The sequence below is a fragment of the Homo sapiens genome, chromosome 17 (assembly GCF_000001405.40).
Source record: "Homo sapiens chromosome 17, GRCh38.p14 Primary Assembly".
NCBI classification, from domain to species: domain Eukaryota; kingdom Metazoa; phylum Chordata; class Mammalia; order Primates; family Hominidae; genus Homo; species Homo sapiens.
The window spans coordinates 52,390,276-52,417,686 of record NC_000017.11 but is presented as its reverse complement, the minus strand read 5'-3'; the positions used below and the strand labels follow the sequence as shown (position 1 = coordinate 52,417,686).

The 27,411-nt window shown below is 38.1% G+C and overlaps 1 long non-coding RNA gene across 1 annotated transcript in view, besides 2 other annotated features; it reads right to left on the bottom strand.

The window, feature by feature from the left end:
* Positions 1 to 27,165, bottom strand: part of LINC01982 (long intergenic non-protein coding RNA 1982) — a 145,180-nt gene extending 118,015 nt beyond the window's left edge. The window contains exon 1 of the long non-coding RNA NR_146898.1: positions 27,097 to 27,165. This is a non-coding gene — a long non-coding RNA (long intergenic non-protein coding RNA 1982). The remainder of the gene's footprint in view (positions 1 to 27,096) is intronic.
* Positions 7,485 to 8,028: an enhancer, noted in NCBI's record as "NANOG-H3K27ac-H3K4me1 hESC enhancer chr17:50487019-50487562 (GRCh37/hg19 assembly coordinates)". NCBI's record gives its function as "activates a minimal SCP1, AML or CMV promoter by ChIP-STARR-seq in naive H9 embryonic stem cells {active_cell/tissue: H9 hESC(naive)}" and the evidence as "EXISTENCE:reporter gene assay evidence [ECO:0000049][PMID:30033119]".
* Positions 8,029 to 8,573: an enhancer, noted in NCBI's record as "NANOG-H3K27ac-H3K4me1 hESC enhancer chr17:50486474-50487018 (GRCh37/hg19 assembly coordinates)". NCBI's record gives its function as "activates a minimal SCP1, AML or CMV promoter by ChIP-STARR-seq in naive and primed H9 embryonic stem cells {active_cell/tissue: H9 hESC(naive and primed)}" and the evidence as "EXISTENCE:reporter gene assay evidence [ECO:0000049][PMID:30033119]".
* Positions 27,166 to 27,411: the final 246 nt, after the last annotated feature.

Genomic DNA, 27,411 nt, shown 5'->3' with positions numbered 1-27,411 from the left:
CGCAATAAACATACGTGTGCATATGTCTTTATAGCAGCATGATTTATAGTCCTTTGGGTATATACCCAGTAATGGGATGGCTGGGTCAAATGGTATTTCTAGTTCTAGATCCCTGAGGAATCGCCACACTGACTTCCACAATGGTTGAACTAGTTTACAGTCCCACCAACAGTGAACACGATGATATCTAATGAAGGGATTCAATATGATGGTAACTTACATTTCCTCCTATTCTAATGTCTCTGATTCTAGGAATTCTACACATTTGAAAGAAATCATGAGAAATCTCATGATTTTGTCTTGTATACAGCATTGAATCTAGAAGACAGAATTTAGACTAGGATCCCTGAGAAAGAACTGATTGTAAAACAAGGGCCAGATGTAAGACTGAGCTGTCCCCAGCGTGCCTAACAGTCTTTAATTATTTAACTGAATTCTGATGTCACTGTGCAGACAAGAGGCAAATGCCAGTAAGACAATTGGTTTGGTTTTGGCATTCAAAACCATTAGTGAAGAGGTAAGTGGTAAGCAAGATATTCCACTCAGCAGAAGTATTCACAAACTATTGCTATAGTTGGATTACTTTTCTGTCTCTCTCATTAGATTGGCCATATTGAGAGCAAAACTTTATACTCCATGCCTTGCTGTCTTTCCTATTGCCTAGATCTTCCCTTCAGAAAACTAATCATAAACATTGGCATAGTAAGCATCTGAGAAGACCTACACATAAATAAACTAGCTTAATTCTGTTTGAGCCACTATTTCCAAACTAATATGACTACAAAATCACTTTTTTTTACACCCCAGGTGTTAATCTCACAAAACCCCCAAGGAATAATCTAGACACCACTACTCCGAGTACTATCTTCCTCTTTGTCTCCCAAATTACATGATATACCAGAGCTGTCAATCCCTACAATCAGGTTACATTAATGCCTAAGGCATTGTTAGGTATGGAAGCATAGGTGCTAGAAATTATGCTTTTTCTTAGTGTCATTCACTAATATGTAGCTGTTAAAACTCCAGCCATAGTTAAAGGACTCAGGTCAAAGTTACAGAAAGTTGTTGGGAACCTCCATGGTCACTCACTCTTTCTTGTTACTGCATTTTGCATCAGGCTTCATGCAAAAGTCATACCACCCAGAGCTGCACTTATCCCAAATGATAGAATCTGGAGCTGTCCTTCAAGGGTAAAAGGTAGAATTAGGAGCACTGAGATAGTTACATATTTCGATGCATTTTCCTCTTTTGGTAACTGTTGTTGGACATTTAGCCATGTTTCCATTTTCTCTAATTCCCTTTGCCTGTTCTTCTATGCCTGGTTAAACTTGAAATTTAATACTAGCCTTTCTTACTCTCATTCCTAAGAGTCCTATTTCAGTCCTATTTCCAAGCTACTGTTTTCTTTCTCCAGGGCTAAGAGTTTTTGCAACCAGTGATATATATCATTATCTAGTCCCAGGATTTGACTGGTTCTTTTTCATACTCTGGACTCTTTTTGCTACTGGACTCTTTTTGAAATCAGCAATGTTTTTCATGGGGTTGTAAGAAATTTTTTATCCCAAATCAAGAGAGTCTGAAAAAAAAATTTTCAAGGTGGCATTCTGTGTACCTGAGCATGCCAACAGCCCTGCAGCATCTTAAAGTAATAAAATCTACTCTTGTCATTCTTTCCTTTAAAATTCTTCAAATGCTCTCTAGGGCATAAAGTGTTAATAACAATAGTAATTAGCCTTTATCAGGGATTCACATTGAATGAATCTCTGTTCTAAACTCTTTAATCCTCACAGCAACCTACAAAATGTATGTAATTATTTTCCCCATTTTATGGGTGAATAAACTGAGATTTAGGCTTTCCTACAGATACAAAAATGGTAAGTGATGGAACCAGCATTCAGCCTGGGCAGTCCAAATAGTGCTCAGGCTTAACCACCAAGAAATAATGACTTATTTTAAGCCTGGATGAATTACTAAGGTCTTACCTTGACAAATTAAGATCCTTCCAATGTAGGTCCCAAATTACTTTCCGCATATTTGTCCTATCATTCTTATTCATGCAGCCTACATTCATTCATTCATTGAACATTTACTGAACACCTACTGTATTCTAGGAACTGAGCTAAATATCACACAGTGGCCACACTAATCTGACTGTCTTAGTCTGTTCAGGCTGATATAAAAAAATGCCATAAACTGAGTATCTTATAAACAATAGAAAATGATTTCTCACAGTTCTGGAGTCTGGGATGTTCAAGATCAAGGATGAATCAGTATCTGGTGAGAGCCTGTCATCTCCTATGGAAAAAGGGCAAGGTAGCTTCCTGGTACCTCTTTTTAAAAGATACTAATCCCATTCATGATGACTTGCCCCTCATGATCTAATCACCTCTTAAAGATCCTACTTCCTTAATACCATCACTCTAAGGGTTAGGAGTTCAATATATGGATTTTGGAGGGACACAAACATTCTGACCATAGCACTGGGTATAGTATACACCATGATCATCCTGCATATACCTGTGATTTTACAAGTACCATCCCTTCTTTCTGCAATAAGATTTCCCTCCTTCCTTTTCTTTTTGGAAAAGTTTCTGTATACCCTTCAAGACCCCATTCAAAAGTCACTTTCTTTTTTTTTTTCTTTTTTTAAAATTATTATTATACTTTAAGTTTTAGGGTACATGTGCACAATGTGCAGGTTAGTTACATATGTATACATGTGCCATGCTGGTGTGCTGCACCCATTAACTCATCATTTAGCATTAGGTATATCTCCTAATGCTATCCCCCCCCTCCCCCCACCCCACAACAGTCCCCAGAGTGTGATATTCCCCTTCCTGTGTCCATGTGTTCTCATTGTTCAGTTCCCACCTATGAGTGAGAATATGCGGTGTTTGGTTTTTTGTTCTTGCGATAGTTTACTGAGAATGATGATTTCCAATTTCATCCATGTCCCTACAAAGGACATGAACTCATCCTTTGTTATGGCTGCATAGTATTCCATGGTGTATGTGTGCCACATTTTCTTAATCCAGTCTATCATTGTTGGACATTTGGGTTGGTTCCAAGTCTTTGCTATTGTGAATAGTGCCGCAATAAACATACGTGTGCATGTGTCTTTATAGCAGCATGATTTATAATCCTTTGGGTATATACCCAGTAATGGGATTGCTGGGTCAAATGGTATTTCTAGTTCTAGATCCCTGAGGAATTGCCACACTGACTTCCACAATGGTTGAACTAGTTTACACTCCCACCAACAGTGTAAAAGTGTTCCCATTTCTCCACATCCTCTCCCGCACCTGTTGTTTCCTGACTTTTTAATGATTGCCATTCTAACTGGTGTGAGATGGTATCTCATTATGGTTTTGATTTGCATTTCTCTGATGGCCAGTGATGGTGAGCATTTTTTCATGTGTTTTTTGGCTGCATAAATGTCTTCTTTTGAGAAGTGTCTGTTCATGTCCTTTGCCCACTTTTTGCTGGGGTTGTTTTTTTCTTGTAAGTTTGTTTGAGTTCATTTTAGATTCTGGATATTAGCCCTTTGTCAGATGAGTAGGTTGCGAAAATTTTCTCCTGTTTTGTAGGTTGCCTGTTCACTCTGATGGTAGTTTCTTTTGCTGCGCAGAAGCTCTTTAGTTTAGTCACTTTCTCTATGAAACCTCATGCAGCTCATCTAGCCACAGTGCCTCTTGAGCTATCACTGAAGTTTGTATGTACCTCCTTTATACCGTGAATGTCTATCTGTCTAGCTATTCCATCCATCTACTTCTTTCCTGGTCTTTTGCTCTTGCATGTAATAGCCTCAAGGACTCTTGAGCCATGTCTTCATAATTTTTCTACTTCCTTGCAGAACATCTGACATTTATAAATATTATGAAACCAAATTTGCCTGCTACTCTAAAGCCAGAAAGAAACACCAATTGGATGATCTAAAGGGGTTGTATTTGTAAATAACCTTTAGGCTACATTTTTAAGTGATTTACTCAATAATTACGCATCATCAAGAGTCTCCCAGTCTAGTAAGAAACAATCATAAAAATAAATAAACAAAGAAGAAAACAAACTTATTGTTATGAACTGAATGTTAATGCCCCCTCTCCCTGCCAAACTGATATGTTGAAATTTTAACCTCCAACGCAGTAGTATTAGTAGCTGGGACCTTTGGGAGGGAATTAAGTCATGAGGGTGGAGGTATCATGGATGCGGTTGCAGCCCTTATAAAAGAGGCCCCAGAGAGCTTTCTAGCTCTTTTTCTGCCTCATGAGGACACACAGAGAAAATGGCTCTCTATGAACCAGGATGTGGGACTCCAACAGACACTGAATTTTCCAGTGTCTTAAACTTGGAGTTTCCAGCTTCCAGAACCGTAAAAAAAAAAAAAAAAAAAAAAAAAACAGTTTGTTGTTAAAACCACCCAGTCTATGGTATTTTGTTATAGCAGCCAGAACTAAGTAAAACAGTTATACTTGTGACAATAATGAGGCAGGTACAGTGGTAACAGAGAATGGAGGAGAAAGTTATACGCACCTGAAGGAGTCTGGAAATGCTTCTTTTAGGAAACAATAATTGTGCTAGGACATAGACAGTGAGTAGGTCTTAACGAGGTCGACAGCAGGGTAAGTATCTTTTAGGTACACAAATGTGCAGTCCATGTGCATGTGGTCTATTCAGGGGTCCAGGAAGTGCAAAAGGATAAGTGTGTAGGTGTTTAGAGGAAAGCAAAAGGAAATAGAAATAAAGTACTATAAAAAGCCAAATTACAAAGGGTCTGACATGCCATGAAATAGAGTTTTGATTTTTTTTCTACCAAAATAAAGGGAAGTTATGAAAGCAGTTTACATCTAAGTGGAACGATCAGATGTTCAGTTATAAAGATAACTCTGGCGATAATGTAAAGGGTAGAATTTTTGGAGAAGATTGCATTTATCATCCAGGAGACTGTTATCACTTCTTTCATATGTAATTGAAATCAATTACATATGAAATCATATCAGCTTTTCATATGTAATTGATTTTAAAAGCCATAGAGCAGCCCTCTGGCTCAAGAAGCTCAAAGTCCCTGGCCCAGTCCCCTGGCTGATACTGTTCCTGGAGGCTCTAGGCCTGAGACACTCTCCCCCTTGCTTTGTGGTCTCCTGACTTGTTTTGCTTCCCAAGGAAATTTCAATTTTTTCTTATACATCCCCTCTATTTAGAGAACGCCTAATCATCTATAGCTGGGTCCCCAAAGATTTCTAAACTTTCTATTTTCAGAATGCAAAAATATAAATCCCCTATTCTAAGACATTCTTTATTCGTTAGGATGAAGATTATTTTGCTTGCAAGTGACAGAAACCCAACTTAAATTAGCGTATGTAAAAAAGTGAATTCATTTGCTTATGTAATCAGAAAGTCTCAGAGGGCTGATTCCGGTCAGGTAAAACTAGACACAGGGTTTCAAATTGTCAACAGGACTCTCTTCACTTCATGGCTGTACTATCCTCTCTGCCTTAGTTTTACATACACTCTCTTCCTAGGGTAGCAGATGTGGTGATTAGCTGTTGTTCATTTACATTGTCTGCACAGCCTTAATTCCAGAAGAAAGTGAATGGCCCTTTGCCCACAAACATCCATACAGATTCCTCAGAAAGTTGTTAATCAGTCTTGTCTGGACTTATGTACCTGATTCTGAACCAATCACTATGTCCAGAAGGATAGAAGGTATCGTGATTGGTGTGTTGGTGGTGGCTTAATGAAGCAGGCTTGTATAAATTTGGCACAGCCAATTTCATGCCCCTCTCCCATGTCCACATCTAGTGATGTCATGTTATTAGCTTGAAGTCAGTCATGGTGGGAGAGTGGGGGTGTTTATACCACAGAGACACTACAAATGCTAGTGCTACAAATCAGGAGCTCCTTGTTTGGAGAGGCAGGTTATTAGCATGTCTTTGACTGTTAGTGTCATATGTTCCTCATCCTCATCTTACAAACTAATGCATTTCATGAATGACACCTCCACTAGGATCATCTGGAGTAAGGAAAGTCCAAAAAGGAAAGCATAAAGAACAGATCAAAAAGCAGCTAGCATCTATCACATTTAAAAAGTATTTGGCTTTTGGTCACAAAAAGTAAAACCTGCCCCTTTGGGAGGATGAAAATATAGTTTCCCATGTCATTTCAAATGCCCATGTCCCAGGGACCTGCTTGTAGTTACTATCTTTAGAAAACAGGGGAAGGATGGAGAGAAGAACGAGACTTCTCTTCTTGCCTTTAGGGCTCTCTCCACCGAGGAGTGATCTACTGGAGAATGTGAAGATCTGTAACAATAATCTTACCCAATAGAAGCACCACCCAACACATTGTGGAAGTTCAATAAATATTTCTTAAAATAGCATGACCAGTGGCCATCTCAGTTTTATCAGATGCCTTATATTAATATTTGTATACTTCATTAGCTGAACCGGAGCTAAATTAGCCAATATATAGACTATGGTGACACCTCCTCCTAAGACATCTTAGAATATCTTAACTTTCAAGAAGTGAGGGAGATAGTGAAGTAGGTACCCAGAAATATCCATTGCTTTGACTGTAACCTAGGAACCAAAAAGGCAAAACTTATCTGTAATTATAACTACCTCTGCTAAACTGTGTTTCCTTTTCCCTGCACAACTGGAGACACAGATGACTCAGAAAACAAACACTCACCATTATGAACTGAAGAGACTATCAGTGTAGGGCAGATTCCCTTCCCTGACCTATGTGTTACTGTATAAACACATGCTTATTCTCTCACCCGTCCTATTAGGGCAGATTCCCTTCCCTGACCTATGTGTTACTATATAAACACATGCTTATTCTCTCAGCAGCCCTATTGTCCTAAGTGATTGTTTTCTCTCAGAAGAAAACAACTTTTGCATAAAAACATAATTGCTTCTAGGACCCCAAGCAGCTTTTCTGTTGAACCCCTCAATTAAAAATTAAACAGAAATGGCAGATTTTGGTGATATAGAAGAGACCTGCAGTAACATAGGCTTCCTAGGGACTGCTTGGGGAATCAGAAGTCCAGGGCAAGAGCAGTAATGAGGAAAGTGGCCTGAGACAGCAGACCAACGCTGGGCACATAAGCAGAGGAATCACAGAACACTGGGTAGTAAGATACCCTATGCCCCACCAAACACCAGAAGACTCAATAGAAGAAAGCAGCCTTAACTAGTCACCAAACAGGGAAAGAATATCTAAAAAGCCTTTGGGGTTCTCTACAATATTAATACAGGAAACTTCCTAGAAAGCAAGGACCTTCCTGATAGTCAGTGTGTAAGGACTCAGAACACCTAAATGCTGTTCCTTACTGTAAAATGTGACCACAGTTTTAATTACCAGCTAGTGGAGCCTGTGATATTTAAGTTAAAATCAACTATTATTAACAAGGTATAAAGATGGTGAAAGTAATCGAGTGATTTCCTATATGATTCTGTTTTCCAGTCATGAAATCTGATGATACAAATTCTCCTGATTAGGCAATTCCTTATTAAAAACCCTTCATTAGTTGCTTGTTTCCTGTTAGACAAGAGCTCCGTCTAACCTGTCTTGGCATGACTCTGTCTTGGTGTGATACCCTTGTGGTATGACTCCTGCAACTTTCTCTAGTCTTATCTCCTTCTTCTGTCTCCTATATATCCTGAAATATGGTCATGTCGGCCTGAATCTGTGTCAAGGAACACATGGTATATATGTTCTGATGCTTTTGAATATGCTGTTCCTTCTCCCTGGGATTCTTCACATGGCTGTATCCTCTCCATTTGGCAACAACTTTCTCATTCTTTAAGAAATAACAGTTTGGGGGAAGGAGCCAAGATGGCCGAATAGGAACAGCTCCGGTCTACAGCTCCCAGCATGAGCGACGCAGAAGACGGTGATTTCTGCATTTCCATCTGAGGTACCGGGTTCATCTCACTAGGGAGTGCCAGACAGTGGGCTCAGGTCAGTGGGTGCACGCACCGTGTGCGAGCCGAAGCAGGGCGAGGCATTGCCTCACTTGGGAAGCGCAAGGGGTCAGGGAGTTCCCTTTCTGAGTCAAAGAAAGGGGTGACGGATGGCACCTGGAAAATTGGGTCACTCCCACCCGAATACTGCACTTTTCCGACGGGCTTAAAAAACGGCGCACCACGAGATTATATCCCGCACCTGGCTTGGAGGGTCCTATGCCCAAGGAGTCTCGCTGATTGCTAGCACAGCAGTCTGAGATCAAACTGCAAGGCAGCAGCGAGGCTGGGGGAGGGGCGCCTGCGATTGCCCAGGCTTCATTAGGTAAACAAAGCAGCCGGGAAGCTCGAACTGGGTGGAGCCTACCACAGCTCAAGGAGGTCTGCCTGCCTCTGTACGCTCCACCTCTGGGGGCAGGGCACAGACAAACAAAAAGACAGCAGTAACCTCTGCAGACTTAAATGTCCCTGTCTGACAGCTTTGAAGAGAGCAGTGGCTCTCCCAGCATGCAGCTGGAGATCTGAAAACGGGCAGACTGCCTCCTCAAGTGGGTCCCTGACCCCTGACCCCCAACAGCCTAACTGGGAGGCACCCCCCAGCAGGGGCACACTGACACCTCACACGGCAGGGTATTCCAACAGACCTGCAGCTGAGGGTCCTGTCTGTTAGAAGGAAAACTAACAAACAGAAAGGACATCCACACCAAAAACCCATCTGTACATCACCATCATCAAAGACCAAAAGTAGATAAAACCACAAAGATGGGGAAAAAACAGAACAGAAAAACTGGAAACTCTAAACAGCAGAGCACCTCTCCTCCTCCAAAGGAATGCAGTTCCTCACCAGAAACGGAACAAAGCTGGATGGAGAATGACTTTGACGAGCTGAGAGAAGAAGGCTTCAGATGATCAAATTACTCTGAGCTACGGGAGGACATGCAAACCAAAGGCAAAGAAGTTGAAAACTTTGAAAAACATTTAGAGGAATGTATAACTAGAATAACCAATACAGAGAAGTGCTTAAAGGAGCTGATGGAGCTGAAAACCAAGGCTCGAGAACTACGTGAAGAATGCAGAAGCCTCAGGAGCCGATGCAATCAACTGGAAGAAAGGGTATCAGCGATGGAAGATGAAATGAATGAAATGAAGCGAGAAGGGAAGTTTAGAGAAAAAAGAATAAAAAGAAATGAGCAAAGCCTCCAAGACATATGGGACTATGTGAAAAGACCAAATCTACGTCTGATTGGTGTACCTGAAAGTGATGGGGAGAATGGAACCAAGTTGGAAAACACTCTGCAGGATATTATCCAGGAGAACTTCCCCAATCTAGCAAGGCAGGCCAACGTTCAGATTCAGGAAATACAGAGAATGCCACAAAGATACTCCTCGAGAAGAGCAACTCCAAGACACATAATTGTCAGATTCACCAAAGTTGAAATGAAGGAAAAAATGTTAAGGGCAGCCAGAGAGAAAGGTCGGGTTACCCTCAAAGGGAAGCCCATCAGACTAACAGCGGATCTCTCGGCAGAAACCCTACAAACCAGAAGAGAGTGGGGGCCAATATTCAACATTCTTAAAGAAAAGAATTTTCAACCCAGAATTTCATATCCAGCCAAACTAAGCTTCATAAGTGAAGGAGAAATAAAATACTTTACAGACAAGCAAATGCTGAGAGATTTTTGTCACCACCAGGCCTGCTCTAAAAGAGCTCCTGAAGGAAGCACTAAACATGGAAAGGAACAACCGGTACCAGCCGCTGCAAAATCATGCCAAAATGTAAAGACCATCAAGACTAGGAAGAAACTGCATCAACTAATGAGCAAAATAACCAGCTAACATCATAATGACAGGATCAAATTCACACATAACAATATTAACTTTAAATGTAAATGGACTAAATGCTCCAATTAAAAGACACAGACTGGCAAATTGGATAAAGAGTCAAGACCCAACAGTGTGCTGTATTCAGGAAACCCATCTCATGTGCAGAGACACACATAGGCTCAAAATAAAAGGATGGAGGAAGATCTACCAAGCAAATGGAAAACAAAAAAAGGCAGGGGTCGCAATCCTAGTCTCTGTTAAACAGACTTTAAACCAACAAAGATCAAAAGAGACAAAGAAGGCCATTACATAATGGTAAAAGCATCAATTCAACAAGAAGAGCTAACTATCCTAAATATATATGCACCCAATACAGGAGCACCAAGATTCATAAAGCAAGTCCTGAGTGACCTACAAAGAGACTTAGACTCCCACACATTAATAATGGGAGACTTTAACACCCCACTGTCAACATTAGACAGATCAACGAGACAGAAAGTCAACAAGGATACCCAGGAATTGAACTCAGCTCTGCACCAAGAGGACCTAATAGACATCTACAGAACTCTCCACCCCAAAGCAACAGAATATACATTTTTTTCAGCACCACACCACATCTATTCCAAAATTGACCACACATTTGGAAGTAAAGCTCTCCTCAGCAAATGTAAAAGAACAGAAATTATAACAAACTATCTCTCAGACCACAGTGCAATCAAACTAGAACTCAAGATTAAGAATCTCACTCAACACCGCTCAACTACATGGAAACTGAACAACCTGCTCCTGAATGACTACTGGGTACATAACGAAATGAAGGCAGAAATAAAGATGTTCTTTGAAACCAATGAGAACAAAGACACAACATACCAGAATCTCTGGGACACATTCAAAGCAGTGTGTAGAGGGAAATTTATAGCACTAAATGCCCACAAGAGAAAGCAGGAAAGATCCAAAATTGACACCCTAACATCACAATTAAAAGAACTAGAAAAGCAAGAGCAAACGCATTCAAAAGCTAGCAGAAGGCAAGAAATAACTAAAATCAGAGCAGAACTGAAGGAAATAGAGACACAAAAAACCCTTCAAAAAATTAATGAAACCAGGAGCTGGTTTTTTGAAAGGATCAACAAAATTGATAGACTGCTAGCAAGACTAATAAAGAAAAAAAGAGAGAAGAATCAAATAGACGCAATAAAAAATGATAAAGGGGATATCACCACCGATCCCACACAAATACAAACTACCATCAGAGAATACTACAAACACCTCTATGCAAATAAACTAGAAAATCTAGAAGAAATGGATAACTTCCTTGACATATACACTCTCCCAAGACTAAACCAGGAAGAAGTTGAATCTCTCAATAGACCAATAACAGGATCTGAAATTGTGGCAATAATCAACAGCTTACCAACCAAAAAGAGTCCAGGACCAGATGGATTCACAGCCGAATTCTACCAGAGGTACAAGGAGGAACTGGTACCATTCCTTCTGAAACTATTCCAATCAGTAGAAAAAGAGGGAATCCTCCCTAACTCATTTTATGAGGCCAGCATCATTCTGATTCCAAAGCCTGGCAGAGACACAACCAAAAAAGAGAATTTTAGACAAATATGCTTGATGAACATTGATGCAAAAATTCTCAATAAAATACTGGCAAAACGAATCCAGCAGCACATCAAAAAGCTTATCCACCATGATCAAGTGGGCTTCATCTCTGGGATGCAAGGCTGGTTCAATATACGCAAATCAATAAATGTAATCCAGCATATAAACAGAGCCAAAGACAAAAACCACATGATTATCTCAATAGATGCAGAAAAAGCCTTTGACAAAATTCAACGCTTCATGCTAAAAACTCTCAATAAATTAGGTATTGATGGGACGTATTTCAAAATAATAAGAGCTATCTATGACAAACCCACAGCCAATATCATACTGAATGGGCAAAAACTGGAAGCATTCCCTTTGAAAACTGGCACAAGACAGGGATGCCCTCTCTCACCACTCCTATTCAACATAGTGTTAGAAGTTCTGGCCAGGGCAATTAGGCAGGAGAAGGAAATAAAGGGTATTCAATTAGGAAAAGAGGAAGTCAAATTGTCCCTGTTTGCAGACGACATGATTGTATATCTAGAAAACCCCATTGTCTCAGCCCAAAATCTCCTTAAGCTGATAAGCAACTTCAGCAAAGTCTCAGGATACAAAATCAATGTACAAAAATCACAAGCATTCTTATACACCAATAACAGACAAACAGAGAGCCAAATCATGAGTGAACTCCCATTCACAATTGCTTCAAAGAGAATAAAATACCTAGGAATCCAACTTACAAGGGATGTGAAGGACCTCTTCAAGGAGAACTACAAACCACTGCTCAAGGAAATAAAAGAGGATACAAACAAATGGAAGAACATTCCATGCTCATGGGTAGGAAGAATCAATATCGTGAAAATGGCCATACTGCCCAAAGTAATTTATAGATTCAATGCCATCCCCATCAAGCTCCCAATGACTTTCTTCACAGAATTGGAAAAAACTAAAGTTCATATGGAACCAAAAAAGAGCCCGCATCACCAAGTCAATCCTAAGCCAAAAGAACAAAGCTGGAGGCATCACACTACCTGACTTCAAACTATACTACAAGGCTACAGTAACCAAAACAGCATGGTACTCATACCAAAACAGAGATATAGATCAATGGAACAGAACAGAGCCCTCAGAAATAATGCCTCATATCTACAACTATCTGATCTTTGACAAATCTGAGAAAAACAAGCAATGGGGAAAGGATTCCCTATTTAATAAATGGTGCTGGGAAAACTGGCTAGCCATGTAGAAAGCTGAAACTGGATCCCTTCCTTACACCTTATACAAAAATCAATTCAAGATGGATTAAAGACTTAAATGTTAGACCTAAAACCATAAAAACCCTAGAAGAAAACCTAGGCATTACCATTCAGGACATAGGCATGGGCAAGGACTTCATGTCTAAAACACCAAAAGCAATGGCAACAAAAGACAAAATTGACAAATGGGATCTAATTAAACTAAAGAGCTTCTGCACAGCAAAAGAAACTACCATCAGAGTGATCAGGCAACCTAGAAAATGGGAGAAAATTTTCGCAACCTACTCATCTGACAAAGGGCTAATATCCAGAATCTAAAATGAACTCAAACAAATTTACAAGAAAAAAACAACCCCATCAAAAAGTGAGCGAAGGACATGAACAGACACTTCTCAAAAGAAGACATTTATACAGCCAAAAAACACATGAAAAAATGCTCATCATCACTGGCCATCAGAGAAATGCAATTCAAAACCACAATGAGATACCATCTCACACCAGTTAGAATGGCAATCATTAAAAAGTCAGGAAACAACAGGTGCTGGAGAGGATGTGGAGAAATAGGAACACTTTTACACTGTTGGTGGGAGTGTAAACTAGTTCAACCATTGTGGAAGTCAGTGTGGCAATTCCTCAGGGATCTAGAACTGGAAATACCATTTGATCCAGCCATCCCATTACTGGGTATATACCCAAAGGACTATAAATCATGCTACTATAAAGACACATGCACACGTATGTTTATTGCGGCATTATTCACAATAGCAAAGACTTGGAACCAACCCAAATGTCCAACAATGATAGACTGGATTAAGAAAATGTGGCACATATACACCATGGAATACTGTGCAGCCATAAAAAATGATGAGTTCATGTCCTTTGTAGGGACATGGATGAAATTGGAAATCATCATTCTCAGTAAACTATCACAAGAACAAAAAACCAAACACCGCATATTCTCACTCATAGGTGGGAATTGAACAATGAGATCACATGGACACAGGAAGGGGAATATCACACTCTGGGGACTGTTGTGGGGTGGGGGCAGGGCGGAGGGATAGCATTGGGAGATATACCTAATGCTAGATGACGAGTTAGTGGGTGCAGTGTACCAGCATGGCACATGTATACATATGTAACTAACCTGCAGAATGTGCACATGTACCCTAAAACTTAAAAGTATATTTAAAAAAAAGAAAAAAATAATAATAAATAAAAAATGAAAAACAAAAACAACAAAAAAAAAACAGATGATGCACACACCTTCATTGTATCCAAAGCTTCTTACTAGCATTAAATTTCAGTTACCACATTGGTGACCGTTAGGTAAGAAGTGTAATAATGGCTTCCTTTCCATCCTGACTTTACTCTGTATTTCTCTACTTAAAAAAAAAAGTAATAAATGTGAAAAAGAAAACTGTTAAGTTATAAAAAAAAAAAAAAAAAAGAAAGAAATAACAGTTTTCAGCTTGTCCCTGACCCCACACTTTCTCCTTGTTCACTCCCTTCTACCTCAACCCACCCTCAAGTGATGTTAGGTCCAACCCCTCTGCTCTCCTCCTAAGTAACCTTATAAGAGTATTTACCATGGTATTTTGAGTTTATGCACATCGTATTGACTGTATCATGAGTTCCATCAAAGCAGGGATTTCTCTCTGGATCCTTTTCCTCATTTCTTAAGTCTATCACTCTGTTGGGTACCTAGTAGGCACTTACTACACACTAGGTACATTTAAACAGTCAAAAATGTAATGTTTGAACTTGAAGAATATTAAAAACTCAACCAAAAATACTTTTAAACTTGTATTTTTTTAAATAATGATGTATATTCAGATTTTTAACATTCATATTAAAATTGCTTACAACTCCATATGTAAGTAGAAATTATAGAAAAAGCTACAAGTTGTTTTATAATGTTTACAACACTATTCATCAAGCAGAAAGAATGCCTCATAGTGGAGTAAAGCACATTACTAAATACAATAATTAATTGATTCTAGATGAAGAAGACATATTGAATTGTTAATTATTATGTTCATGTCATCAGAGCAAGGGCCATTCAGTAGATAAATGAATGGGAAAATATCTATTTAGTTACATGAGAAAATATGATCAGAGAAATTCCAGCTATACCAGCAATAAATCACAATAATTTGCAAATCATTTTAAATACCAAAGGTGCAGTGATTTTTTTTTCCAAGAGTAACAACATTTTTATGTGGAAACTTTCCTGTAGTAAAGGTAAACATTAAAGCAGAATTAGCTTATTTTCAAAAATGAATATATATATACTCATATATAAACAAGTGTATATATGTGTTTACTCAAAAATTAAATTTATTTTATGAAAGGTAATTGTGAGTCTTGAGTCTGTATTGATTTGACTGACATTTAAAAGCCAGAGTGTTAATTTTCAAAAGTAAGCCAAACTGAAATTAGAGGCTTTAAATATTTGTTTGCTATTCTTATTGTCCAATAAATGTTGTGGCTAAATATTGAATGTGGGAGGAGCAGGAAATACAGTAAATAAATCGTTCACTGAGATGTTGCTTCTGGACATTTCATTGGCACTAATTCATCAGAATCAAAAGCAGATGGAGGCTCACTAGTCACATCTCATCCCCAGGTGCTAACCCTCTTCAATTTGAACATAGACTTACTTGCTAAATTGAAATTAAATGTTTACCAAGTGCCTAATATGAACAAGACATCGTGAGGAACTTAAACATAAGATATAGTCCCTTCCCTCAAGTGGCAAGTAATCCCCCCAAAATAAAGAGATGAATACGTTTACAAATATATTCTAACGATCATGCATTAAGCACCTATTATTTCTAAGGCATTGGTCTAGTATCCACATCAGAGAGGTAAAAATGATCCAGTTACTGACTATATTGCTCTGACTGGAAGAATACCTAAGTTCTAAAATGTACTATATGTTCCCTGGGGTAGCATTGACTCCTTAATCTATAACGGTCTTATTTAAGGTACCCAGGAGAAGAGTTTTACTTAGAATTGGAAGGTAGAGTCATAGAAGCCAGAACTCATTAAAGACATGGAGGGACTCAGGTAAACAAAAAGAAGTAAATGTTGTAATCAATGCTCTGCATGAGACTTAGTAAGGTCTATTATAAGTATCAATGACTACAAGCCTAAGTTACTGGAAACGCCTTGCAGATTGTATATGTCTTATATTAATCTGTTCAAAGCTAAACAGTCAACAAAGATAGGAAAAGACTCATTTGCATAACAAACTCACTAGAACTGCAAAGCCTAATATGGCAAACCAAGAGGTTAATATGTTACATTAACTATGTTAGTGGGTATAGACTAAGCTGAGCTGTGGTAACATTGGCCCTGTAATCTCTGTGGTGTAACACAATAAAGATGTATTGCATGTTCATGCAAATTCTGATGTGAGTTGGAAGAAGAGATCTCTAGAGAAGCTGTGCTGCTCTAAGTGACTGTAATTCAGGCTGTTGTGAACTTGTTAGGTGGTTCTTTATGGGGAAAGGAGATATGACGGGTTGAACACCAACTTTTAAATATTTTATTCTGAAAATGATACATTTTCCCCTTTATATTCCCCTGGCCAAAGCAGTTTTATGGCATGCCTCACTGCAAGGTTGCTGAGAAATATGCAGGAGTGCATGGCTGTTCGATAAGCAATAAACGTTTATGCCACATTGACAATTAATGCAAGTCCAGTAAAGAGGATGGTAGCCAGGATGAAATGACAGAGACCTGTTGAATGCATGCACTGTGTGGAACAAGTAAATACAAGAAGAAGTTTGCCCTCAGATGTAGGGAATTTTGCTATTGCAGGAAAAGAGGATAAAGTTACCAGGAATTAGTCAACAAGATCAGCACATAAAATAATAGTTGGAATTTCAGATGAACCTCTAAGTCAAGTTAGGAAACACATTTTTTAAAAAAATGGCCAGACACAGTGGCTCATACCTGTAATCCCAGTAATTTGGAAGGCTGTGGCACAAGGATTGTGGCCAGGAGTTCGAGACCAATGTGGGCTGTTGCCCACATTGCTCCATCTTTACGTCCATGTGTTCCTATTGTTTAGCTCCCACTTATGAGTGACAACATGCAATATTTTTCTGCTTCTGAGTTAGTTCACTGAGGACAATGCTTTCAGCTCTATTCATATTGCTGCAAAACACATGATTTCATTCTTTTTATGGCTGCATAGTATTCTGTGGTATATATACATCACATTTTCTTTAGCCAGTCAACCATTGGTGGACACCTAAGTTGGTTCCTATGGGTTTGCTTTTGTCAGTAGTGCTGCAATAAACATATGAGTGCAAGTGTATTTTTTATGTAATAAAAAATTTTTTATGTAGAGATAGGGAGACCCCATCTCTAAATTTTTTTAAACTTAGCCAGGCATGGAGGAGTTGGAGGCTGCAGTAAGCCATGATTGTGCCACTGCACTATAGCCTGGGAGATACAGTGGGACCTCCAACTCAGAAAAAAGAAAATTGGGCACAGGGATGAGAGTAGTACTACTAGTAAAACAACATTTCAGAAAATTATTCTCAAACTTTCTTAATATTTGCTTATTTTAAACCAAGAAGTCTGCAATGAGACAGACACAGGATAAGTATTTTGTAAGTAACCCAGAGGATTCACGTTTGATGGGTCCATGGATTCTATTTAGAGATACACTGGTTCAAGGGATAAGAGAAGCCAGGATTCATATACAAAAGAAAGCAAAATGGTAAGATCAAATAATACCAGTTTTATAAAGTGTTGTTCAACTGGTAAAGTAAGTACTCTTTTGGATAAGTGCTCACGTTGAGTAGAAACTAGTTACCCGGGATCTAAAGTGGTGATATCACATCAGTTTGTAGAATGAATGTGTTATTCTTTTATAATTTATCTTTTAAAATTATTTTTATTTTAGATTCAGGGGGTATATGTATTTGTTTGTTACATGGGTATATTGCATTGTGGTGGGACTTGGGTCTCTAGTGTACCTATTGTCCAAATATTGTACCCAATAAGTAATTTTTCAACCCTTACCTCCTTCTCATCCTCCCCACTTTTTGGAGTCTCCAGTGTCTATTATCTCCATCTTTAGGTCCATGTGTTCCTATTGTTTAGCTCCCACTTATGAGTGACAACATGCAATATTTTTCTGCTTCTGAGTTAGTTCACTGAGGACAATGTTTTCAGCTCTATTCATATTGCTGCAAAACACATGATTTCGTTCTTTTTATGGCTGCATAGTATTCTGTGGTATATATGCATCACATTTTCTTTAGCCAGTCAACCATTGGTGGACACCTAAGTTGGTTCCTATGGCTTTGCTTTTGTCAGTAGTGCTGCAATAAACATACGAGTGCAAGTGTATTTTTTATGTAATGATATCATTTCCTTTGGATAGATATCTAGTAGTGGGAATACTGAGTTGAATGGTAATTCTACTTTTAGTTATTTAAGATAGATCCATACTGTTTTCCACAGAGGTTAAACTAATTTGTATTCCTACCAATTGCATATAAGTGTTCCCTTTTCTGCATCCATGCCAACATTTGTTGTTCTTGACTTTTTAATAGTAGCCATTCTGATTGGTTTAACGTAATATCTCAGTGTAGTTTTAATTCACATTTCTCTGATAAGTGATGTTGAGCATTTTTTCATGTGTTTTTTGGCTACTTGTATTTCTTCTTTTGAAAAATGCCTGTTCATGTCCTTTGCCCAGTTTTTAATGAGATTGGTTGCTTTTTTTCTTATTGAGCTGTTTAAGTTCTTTGGAGATTCTGGATATTAATCCTTTGTTGGAGGCATAATTTGCACATATTTTCTCCCATGCTGTAGGTTACCTGTTTATTCTATTGATTATTTCTTTTGACGTGCAGAACCTTTTTCATTTAATTAAGTCCCATTTGTCTATTTTTGGCTTGTTAAATTTGCTTTTGGGGTCTTTGTCATAAATTCTTGTCTTAGGCTGATGTCTGGAAGAGTTTTTTCTAGATTTTCTTCTGGGATTTTTATAGGATAAATGCTAGTTTCTTTTCCTTTTTCTTTTTTTTCCCAAAATGCTTGGTTTTTCTAATTATTTCTAACTATATTAATATTAGATCTCTATCTTCTTTTGAGTAGTTATGTTCTATCTTATTTTAAGGACTCCATGATTTCATCTTTGAGAAATTGAAGATGTGAGAAAGTCAAAAGGAGTTATCCCAGTTGAGTGGTACATAGTAACTGTAAGGAAGTAGGGAAAGGTGGGAGGTTTCAGGATGTCAATCAAATAAGTCACCTACAAATATAAATCCATATAAGAAGGAATCAGTAAAAAGTAAAACTGGGTAGAAATACAATATTAAGGTTCAAAAAAGGAAAATAATAGGGTTAAGATGATGCTATAAGGTTAGAGGTACAATGTTCTACAGCTTATCTAAATTCAGGGGGCTAGAGGAAACTAGAGGAAGAGTTCACTCTATAGCTGTCCAAATAGATACAGCAGTTTTTATCCCAAATCCACCTAATATTAGAATTGTTTATCAAAAATGTCAAATATGCATGCACAATATGAGATTGATATTAATTATTAGATTGATATTAGATATTAGATTATTAGTTCTGTTGCTAACTAAAAATATGTATATATGCCTTGATATTGGGAAAATTGAATATACATATGCAAAGAAAAAAAGAAGTTAGACCCTTACCTTACATCATATACAAAAATTAACTCAAAATTGATGAAAGAACTAAATGTATGACCTCAAACTTTAAAACTTCTAAAAGAAAACATAGGGGAAAAGCTTTATGACATTAGACATGGTAATGATTTCTTAGCTATAACATGAAGAACACAGAAAAGAAGCAAGCAAACAAATGGAACAACATAAAACTTGCAAACTTTTGTGCATAAAAGGGCACAATCAACAGAGTAAAAAAGCAACCTATGGAATGGGAAAAATATTTGCAAATCATATATCTATAAGAAATTAACATCTGGGATAAACAAAGAACAACAACTCAACAACAAAAATAGCAAACTGAGAAATTTAACCCAATTTAAAAATGGCCAAGTGGGATTTATCCCTGGGATGCAAGGGTGGTTCAACATTCTAAAATCAACCAATGTAGTACACCATATTAACAAAACAAAGAATGAAAACCACATGGTTATCTGAATAGATGCAGAAAATGCATTTGACAAAATTCAATACCCTTTGATGATAAAAACTTTCAACAAACTTCTTATCAAAAAATTTACTTCAACAAAATAAAGGTCATATATGAAAAGCTCACAACTACCATCATAGTCAGTATTCAAAAACTGAAAGCTTTTCCTCTGTGATAAGGAACAAAGCAAGGATGCCTATTCTCACCACTTCTATTCAACATAGTACTGTAATTCCTAGCAAGAGCAAGCAGGCAATAGTAAGAAATAAAAGGTATTCAAATCAAAATGGAAGAAGTAAAATTAACTCTGTTAGCAGATTACATGATCTTATATGTAGAAAATAGTAAAAACTACACACACACTCACACACACACACACACAAACTTAGAACTAATAAATTAAAGTTTCAGAATACAAAATTAATATGCAAAAATCAGTTTGATTTTATACACTAAAAACTAAACTTTAAAAATTAAATTAAAAAACCAATCCTATAGTAACACCAAAAATAATAAAATACTTATGAATAAACAGCCCAGGAGACCAAAGAGACTTGTACACTGAAAACCATATGACATTGTTGAAACAAATTTTTTAAAAATACACAAATACATGAAAAGACATCCCAGGTTTATAAATTGGGAGACAATAATGTTAAGATGTTCATACTATCCAAAGTGATCTCCAGATTCAATACAGATTCAAAAAAATCTAAAAGTAGAACTGTCATATGCCCCAGAAATTCCACTTCTGGGTATTTAGCCAAAATAATTAAAATTAGAATCTCAAAGAGATATTGGCACTCCCAGGATCATTGGACTATTATTCAAAGTAGCCAAGATGTGAAAACAACCTAAATGTTCATCAGTGGATAAATGGACAAATAAAATGTACCATATACATATAATGGGTTATTAGTAAGCATTGTAAACAGAAGGAGATCTTGTCATATACAGCAACGTGAGGGGAACCTTGAGGACATTTATTCTAAGTTAAATAAGCCAGTCACAAAAAGCCAAATACTATATGATTTCACTTATATGAGGTACCTAATGTAGTCAAAATTCATAGAAACACAAAATAAAATGGTTGTTACTCATGGATGGAGAGAGGAAAAGAAGGGGGAGTTGTTTAATAGATACAGATCTTCACTTCTGCAAGAAAAAAAGCTCTGGAGATTGGCTTCACAACAATGTAAATATACTCAACATAACTGTCTGTACACTTACAAATAATTAAGATGGTAAGTTTTATAATATGTGTTTCTTACCACAGTTTTTTAAAAAGTACCATAAGCCAAGCTTTGTGATCTCATTCTTATATCAAATAATAAAAATAATAGTAATTAGAAATAAATTCTATGCCTCAGTTCCACATCTCCATAGAGAAAAGTTCTTGCCTTGACCAGCTCACTGAGTGAGGTCAATCAGGTTATATTGTGAGTGTCAAATAAACTGATTTGTTTCAGTGTAATTTGAAAATAATATATAATATTCATTTTTTTACAAAGCACAGGAGCTAGTAATTAGTAATTACAGAGATTTTGTAATTGTTTTAAGGAATCTCTACGAAATACTTGTTGGAAGTTTGGAATAGGTACAATTTAAACTATGTAGAAGGTGGGTCTCAACAGGAAATAGGTGGTACTGTAAAAAAAAAAAATCACACCCTAAGTAATTTGTAATAAAGAAACTGGGCATTGAGTTATACACAGAGTCAAGAGAATTCACCAAGGGATTATGAGATCCCTAGAAATAAGCAACAAGGAAAATTGTCACCCACAAACACACACATACACACACCTCATACCCTGTCTTCACCCCAGCCTGCAGGTAAGAGGAGGGAACACAGTTATTGGAGCCCAGCGTAAGCTTAGACCATGGACATGGACAGGGTGCTGTTCAACAGGAGCTGTAACTATAAAGGAATACAACCACTCTTAGAACTGCAGCAAGGCAGGAAGAAAATGAAGAAGTTAAAGACTGATCTCTCCTCCTACCTTCTAATATCAACCATTGGCCAAACGCAAACATAAGCCAGAGTACAAGAGAATACAAGAAATACAGTTTAGAGATGTCAGTCCCCTAGAAATAAAAGCAGAGGAGACAAGACCAGGGAAGGCTGGTGAGAGTGGGGAAGGCAACTAGATTATAAGCAACAAAAAAACACATGGAGAAGCTCAACAGAAAAGCAACTCAAGTGTCAATGCTACTTTAAAAATGTGACAAATGTGTCTGTCTTTCACAGGTCAGGTAGGTCTTAGGTTATAGGTAACATCTATTTCTGACAACAATGGTGTGAAACAAATGACCACAAAAGCTCAGTAGTGTATAACAGCAACACGATGATAAGAATCTCTTTGGCTCGCATGCCTGTGCACTGCCCGGGAGTCAGTGCCTGAGGCTGGGCTTAATCAGAACAGTTCTGTTTCTTGTGTCTTTCATCCTTCTCCAGGATGTCAGACAAGCCCACTGATGCCCTTCTCACAACAATAACTGGCAAAAAGAAAAGACCAACACCAACTGTACAAGTGCTTTTCAATGTGTTGGTCACATCACTCACATTAACATCCAACTGGCCACAGCAAGTCATGAAGCTGTAGCCAAAGTCACCTACAGTCCATACTCTATCTCTTTGATGGGCAGAACTGAAAAGTCACATAGCAAAAGAAGCAGTTATGTGGAGAAGTGAAGAATTGGGGCTGTGAATGTGTTCTTCTACATGTATATATTAAAGCCTTTTGTTAAATACTACTATTATCATATCCAGGTGTAGGCAGAAAGAATAGATACCTTTTATACATTCTGCATTATCCCCTGAAAAAGACCATTTAGACTTTTAAAGCTGGTTATCACAAAAAACAATGTTCAGAAAGAATTGGAAGCCATCATAAATCATGACCTGGGCCCACATGGCCTGACCATTTTTAAGTGTCCATGGGTAACAAAATTACATCTATTAAAGCAATGCTAATTCCTCAGGCCAGCACATTATGGGATGTTAAAAATAATAAAGAAAAAGAAAACAGCAAGCAAGAATGTAGCAAGACTTTATGGTACTAAACTCTACAATCCAAAGGTCTTGGTTGTTTGTTAAGTTATTGTATCCCAGAATTCCTTCAGCACCAGAGACCATTTTTATTACCATGTGCCCCTTCAGTATCTTTTTTGAGCTTCCCTTCTCATCCTTTGATTTTCCTCCTTAATAGCCAATGCTCTCTGCCTGGTAACCATCTTTGCTTCACACTATTGGCGTCAAAGGGCTTCTTGCATTTGTCATCTTAATCATCTGATAATTTTGTTATTGCATTTCTGAAGAGTCTGCCCTCAAAAGGAATATAGAGACAGGTATTATGATGCAGGATTCATGAACTTGACTGTCAGAGTAGCGTGTCTAATAAAAAAGGGGGTGAAGCAGGAGAAAAATCTGACCCCATAGGATGTGATTCTCCTAAGGGAGTTCACCACAATAGAATCTGGCCATTCCACTGACAGATTCTGAACTTTAAATATTATTTTAAAGTTGGTCTTATTTTCATGATTGCATTATACATACTCACAAAAGAGGGAAATACATAAAAAAGAATTCTAAAATGGAAATTATAATTGCATTGTTGTTGTTGGATGGAGATTGGGGTTTCTAAGCAAAACTATGATTTATGCTGATTGTCTTCCTTGAATGTTCAACAGATAATCAGGAAATCTGGAGCTTCCTTTTCTTTTGCCACATGGGAGATGAACAGAAGGAATAATTCCATAGAGAGGGCAGGATTTGGGCTCTGGATTGGTGGTTTGGTTTTGGAGGATGGGAGATGGCCTAGGACTGAATGTACATTTTTTCTTGGCTGTGGGACCACAGTTGAATTGTCTCTTCTCATAATCTGTCTCAATGGGACATGTTCAGAGCATTTCCTTCCCACTCTCTAGAGACCTACCTAGTTGAAAAGCGAATAGGAAAAACAGGGAAACAGGTATTTTTAGGTAGTCTCTCCTGTGTCATAAGCTCAATTATCTCTTCACTGTATCTAATCTCTCTATACACACACACACACACACACACACACACACACACGCACATATATATGCGTGTGTATATACAGATACCGTATAGCTATATATAGAAATGTGTATATATGATGTATGTGTATATATACATGCATATTTGTGTAACTATATATAACAAAGTACAATGCCTTTCCTAAGATCATGCAGCTGGTAGGCAGTCAAATTGAAATTTGAACCAAGGTGAGCTGGAGGTTCCTGCTTCATTGTCTTTCCAAGTGTAACAGATTGATTAAAAACATTTATGCTTTTTTTTCCCAATGTCTTTGGCTAGATTAAGGAACTATAGCTTTTAAAACCACTAAGTCCTTTGAGAAACTCTGAAAGATAGCTCGTAAAGCCCTAAGTTTCATGGAGGAGAGTGGGTAATCACTGGTCAAGAGGCTCTGCATATTCACTTTGTAATCCATCTGAGTGATTCTGAGAAAGAGCTGGGAATATCTAGAGAAGTAGACTCACAACTTGTCCTTTTAAAGAATTTTTCCTGAAGTAAGACTTATTTTACCCCATGTACACACATGAGATGTAAAGCAGATGATTTATGGAAGAAAAAAAACGAAGTCAATACTTTAGAGTGTTTTCTCTGTGCCAAGCACTGTACAGGTTCCTTCACACCCACTTCTTCGTTTAAGTTTGGGTCATCCTTCCTGATGAGAACTCGAAGCTCTGCTCTTTAGTGCAATTTACACCACCTTTAAGAATTTTATTAAGTTTTGCTTTCTATTGTAAATGGTGAGCAGGCTGAGGTGGAAGGATACCCAAGCATCAGATAAAGAAAGACAGAAAGAATGCTTGGAGATATGAACAGTTGCCTTGGATCAGACTGCGGGCCACACTATGCACCTGCGCATGCTGGTCTGCTGAATTAATGAATTAACTTCCAACAAACATATCTAGAAATATCTTTCAAGCTAAAAATAAAAAACCAAAGAGCATCAGAGAAAAAAACTCATAGGTTACAGTTTAGGAAGAAAATATTTTTTCCAAATAAACATATGTAATGTGTGATAGGAAATGAGAAAACCTCCCCTTTAAAGTAGTTATATATTACGTGTGTACATACACTTACTTCAATAGAGCCAGCTCAAGTTTTGTCTTTTTGTTTGTTTGTTTGTTTTTGTTTTTGAGATGGAGTCTCGCTCTGTTACCTAGGCTGGAGGGCAGTGGTGCGATCTCGGCTCACTGCAAGCTCTGCCTCCCGGGTTCACGCCATTCTCCTGCCTCAGCCTCCTGAGTAGTTGGGACTACAGCCGCCGGCCACCACTCCCGGCTAATTTTTTGTTTTTTTAGTAGAGACGGGGTTTCACCATGTTAGCCAAGATGGTCTCGATCTCCTGACCTCATGATCCGCCTGCCTTGGCCTCCCAAAGTGCTGGGATTACAGGCATGAGCCACTGTGCCTGGCCAGAGCCAGCTCAAGTTTTAAATATAAAACTTGATTCTGCTTTTATAAAATCACTTTTAGAATTCCTCATAGCACATTCTCTCGCCATTTTTGGTCATTTAAAGATGGATTGAAACTTGGAAAACAATCACTTTACCATAATGGAAATTGTATTGACTTTGGAATTAAACAATTCTGAGTGTGAATTTACACTGAGAAGCTCACTGGAGTGACAACTAAAATGTAGGGATTATCCCCAGGATGACTGTTCCCACCTTGAATGTCGTTGAAAAATGCAGAGCTCAGGGACTTAACATACTTAACAAATTCTATTATTATTGTTTTCATGAAAAAATAACTTACATCATTGATAAAGTTGGGCAATATAATTTGGCAACCAAATGTTAGATGCCTTTTTTATTTGTAATTTGTAACTGCCTCTGAAACCACGTGAAGAGAAAAATTCCCAATATTTTGCCTAGTGGGAATTAATACAGTAAGTGCATTTGCAAGGAAATAGCCTCCAGTAGCATCTGTTTTAAAGGGCACCATTATTTTGGATGCCAAGCTGCAGGAATACTTGTTTAAAGAGCCATCTCTGTGCTTCATAGTCACTCCAAGCTCCCAGATGCAGGCTCAACGACAGGTAAATTCCATGCAGACCTGCCTCTGAGGATCTCTGTAGATAGCTACAACTTGGCTGGCAGAATGTTGCCTGAGCACAAGACTCTCTATTTGCAAGCTTGGTTCTTCCTCCAGGCTAAAAGGATCTCTTTGTTTTTATTCTCCTTCGCGGGACTCAGACATATTTCTGTCTTTTTGAGGAGATTGCAGAAACCGGCCAAAGAGAACTGAGGCCACACCTCTGCAGTTGCAGCAGAACTTCCCTTGACCCTCGTTTTCTGATTGACTGAGACCCCTCCCATGTGACACGAGTCTGTTTCATAGGCAGTGAGGCCATGTTTTCATGCCATTCAGATGCTGCAGGTAGAAGGATTTAAAAGGGTAGGGGTGTTAGGAAGGGGAGTGACCCACAGCTGCTCTGGGGAAAGTGTGATGTGACAATAAACTTGACAAAAAGTCTCCACGCAGATCACCATAGCATAGATCACCAAGTTATAGTCAACTTTCCCCTTTGGGCTTGCCCTAGCAGTGTTCAGAGATTGGCATCAGAGATTAAAAAGGCAGGAGCTGGAGGTACAAAGGAAGGGGCTGTCCAGATTTGTTACAAATAACAAAAAATAGTTCACATGTATAACGTAACAGTTCAGTGTATAAAGTTTTCTCTCTGGTCCATCATCTCCCTGGGGCTTTTATTATACTTTTTTAACACTTCTGACACAAACCAAAATCTAGAGAGGTTTGGAGATTTTTCTGAGTTAAACTGGAAACTATTAGGGCAAAGACAGAAACCCAAAGCTCCGGAGGCCAAGCTGTTGGTTTATTCTCCTTTGTCACCTACTTCTGCTGCCCAGGCTGTAGCCACACAACCATGTTGTTTCCCAGTGGGCACTACAGGAAGCTCCCTAGTAATAATAATAATAATTTCTATTAATAATGATCATCTGCATTATTTACTATGTGCTTCCTGTGGACTGGGCCGAGTGCTCAGCACTTTACTTAAATTATCCCATTTAATCCTTAAAAACAGTGAATGAAGTAGATATGATTATTATCTTCATTTTAGAAATGAAAACTGAATTAGGAGGTTAAGAACTTGACCAAGTCACAGAGCTAAGAGTCCACCCTCATCTGTTTAATTCCATGGCCCCAAAATGTAAATCTTACATTCCCATAGCTGAGAGACACCACACCCATCCTGCTGACCCACAAGCCCAGGGATTTTTCAACACACCAGAAAGGATCCCATCTTCAGAGCTTCCACTTTGAGCTTCTGATTGCCCACAATCCATATATGTGGGAACTGAAAGGAAAATTGAGGAGAAGGCATTGATCTAGAGACCCAAGGATTTCAGAGCCTCCCCACAAAAGATAATCTTTTTCTTTACTCGCTCCATTCTGTAGCAAATATTTCTTCTCTTTTATTTCACCCTATTGCTGTATACCTGTCTGAGGGATCCATGGGCTTAATAAAATAGCCCCCAAACAATATAAAAAACAAAGCCAAGCTAAAATGAAGTTGTAGGAAAGAAAGTACTGCTAGCTCAGA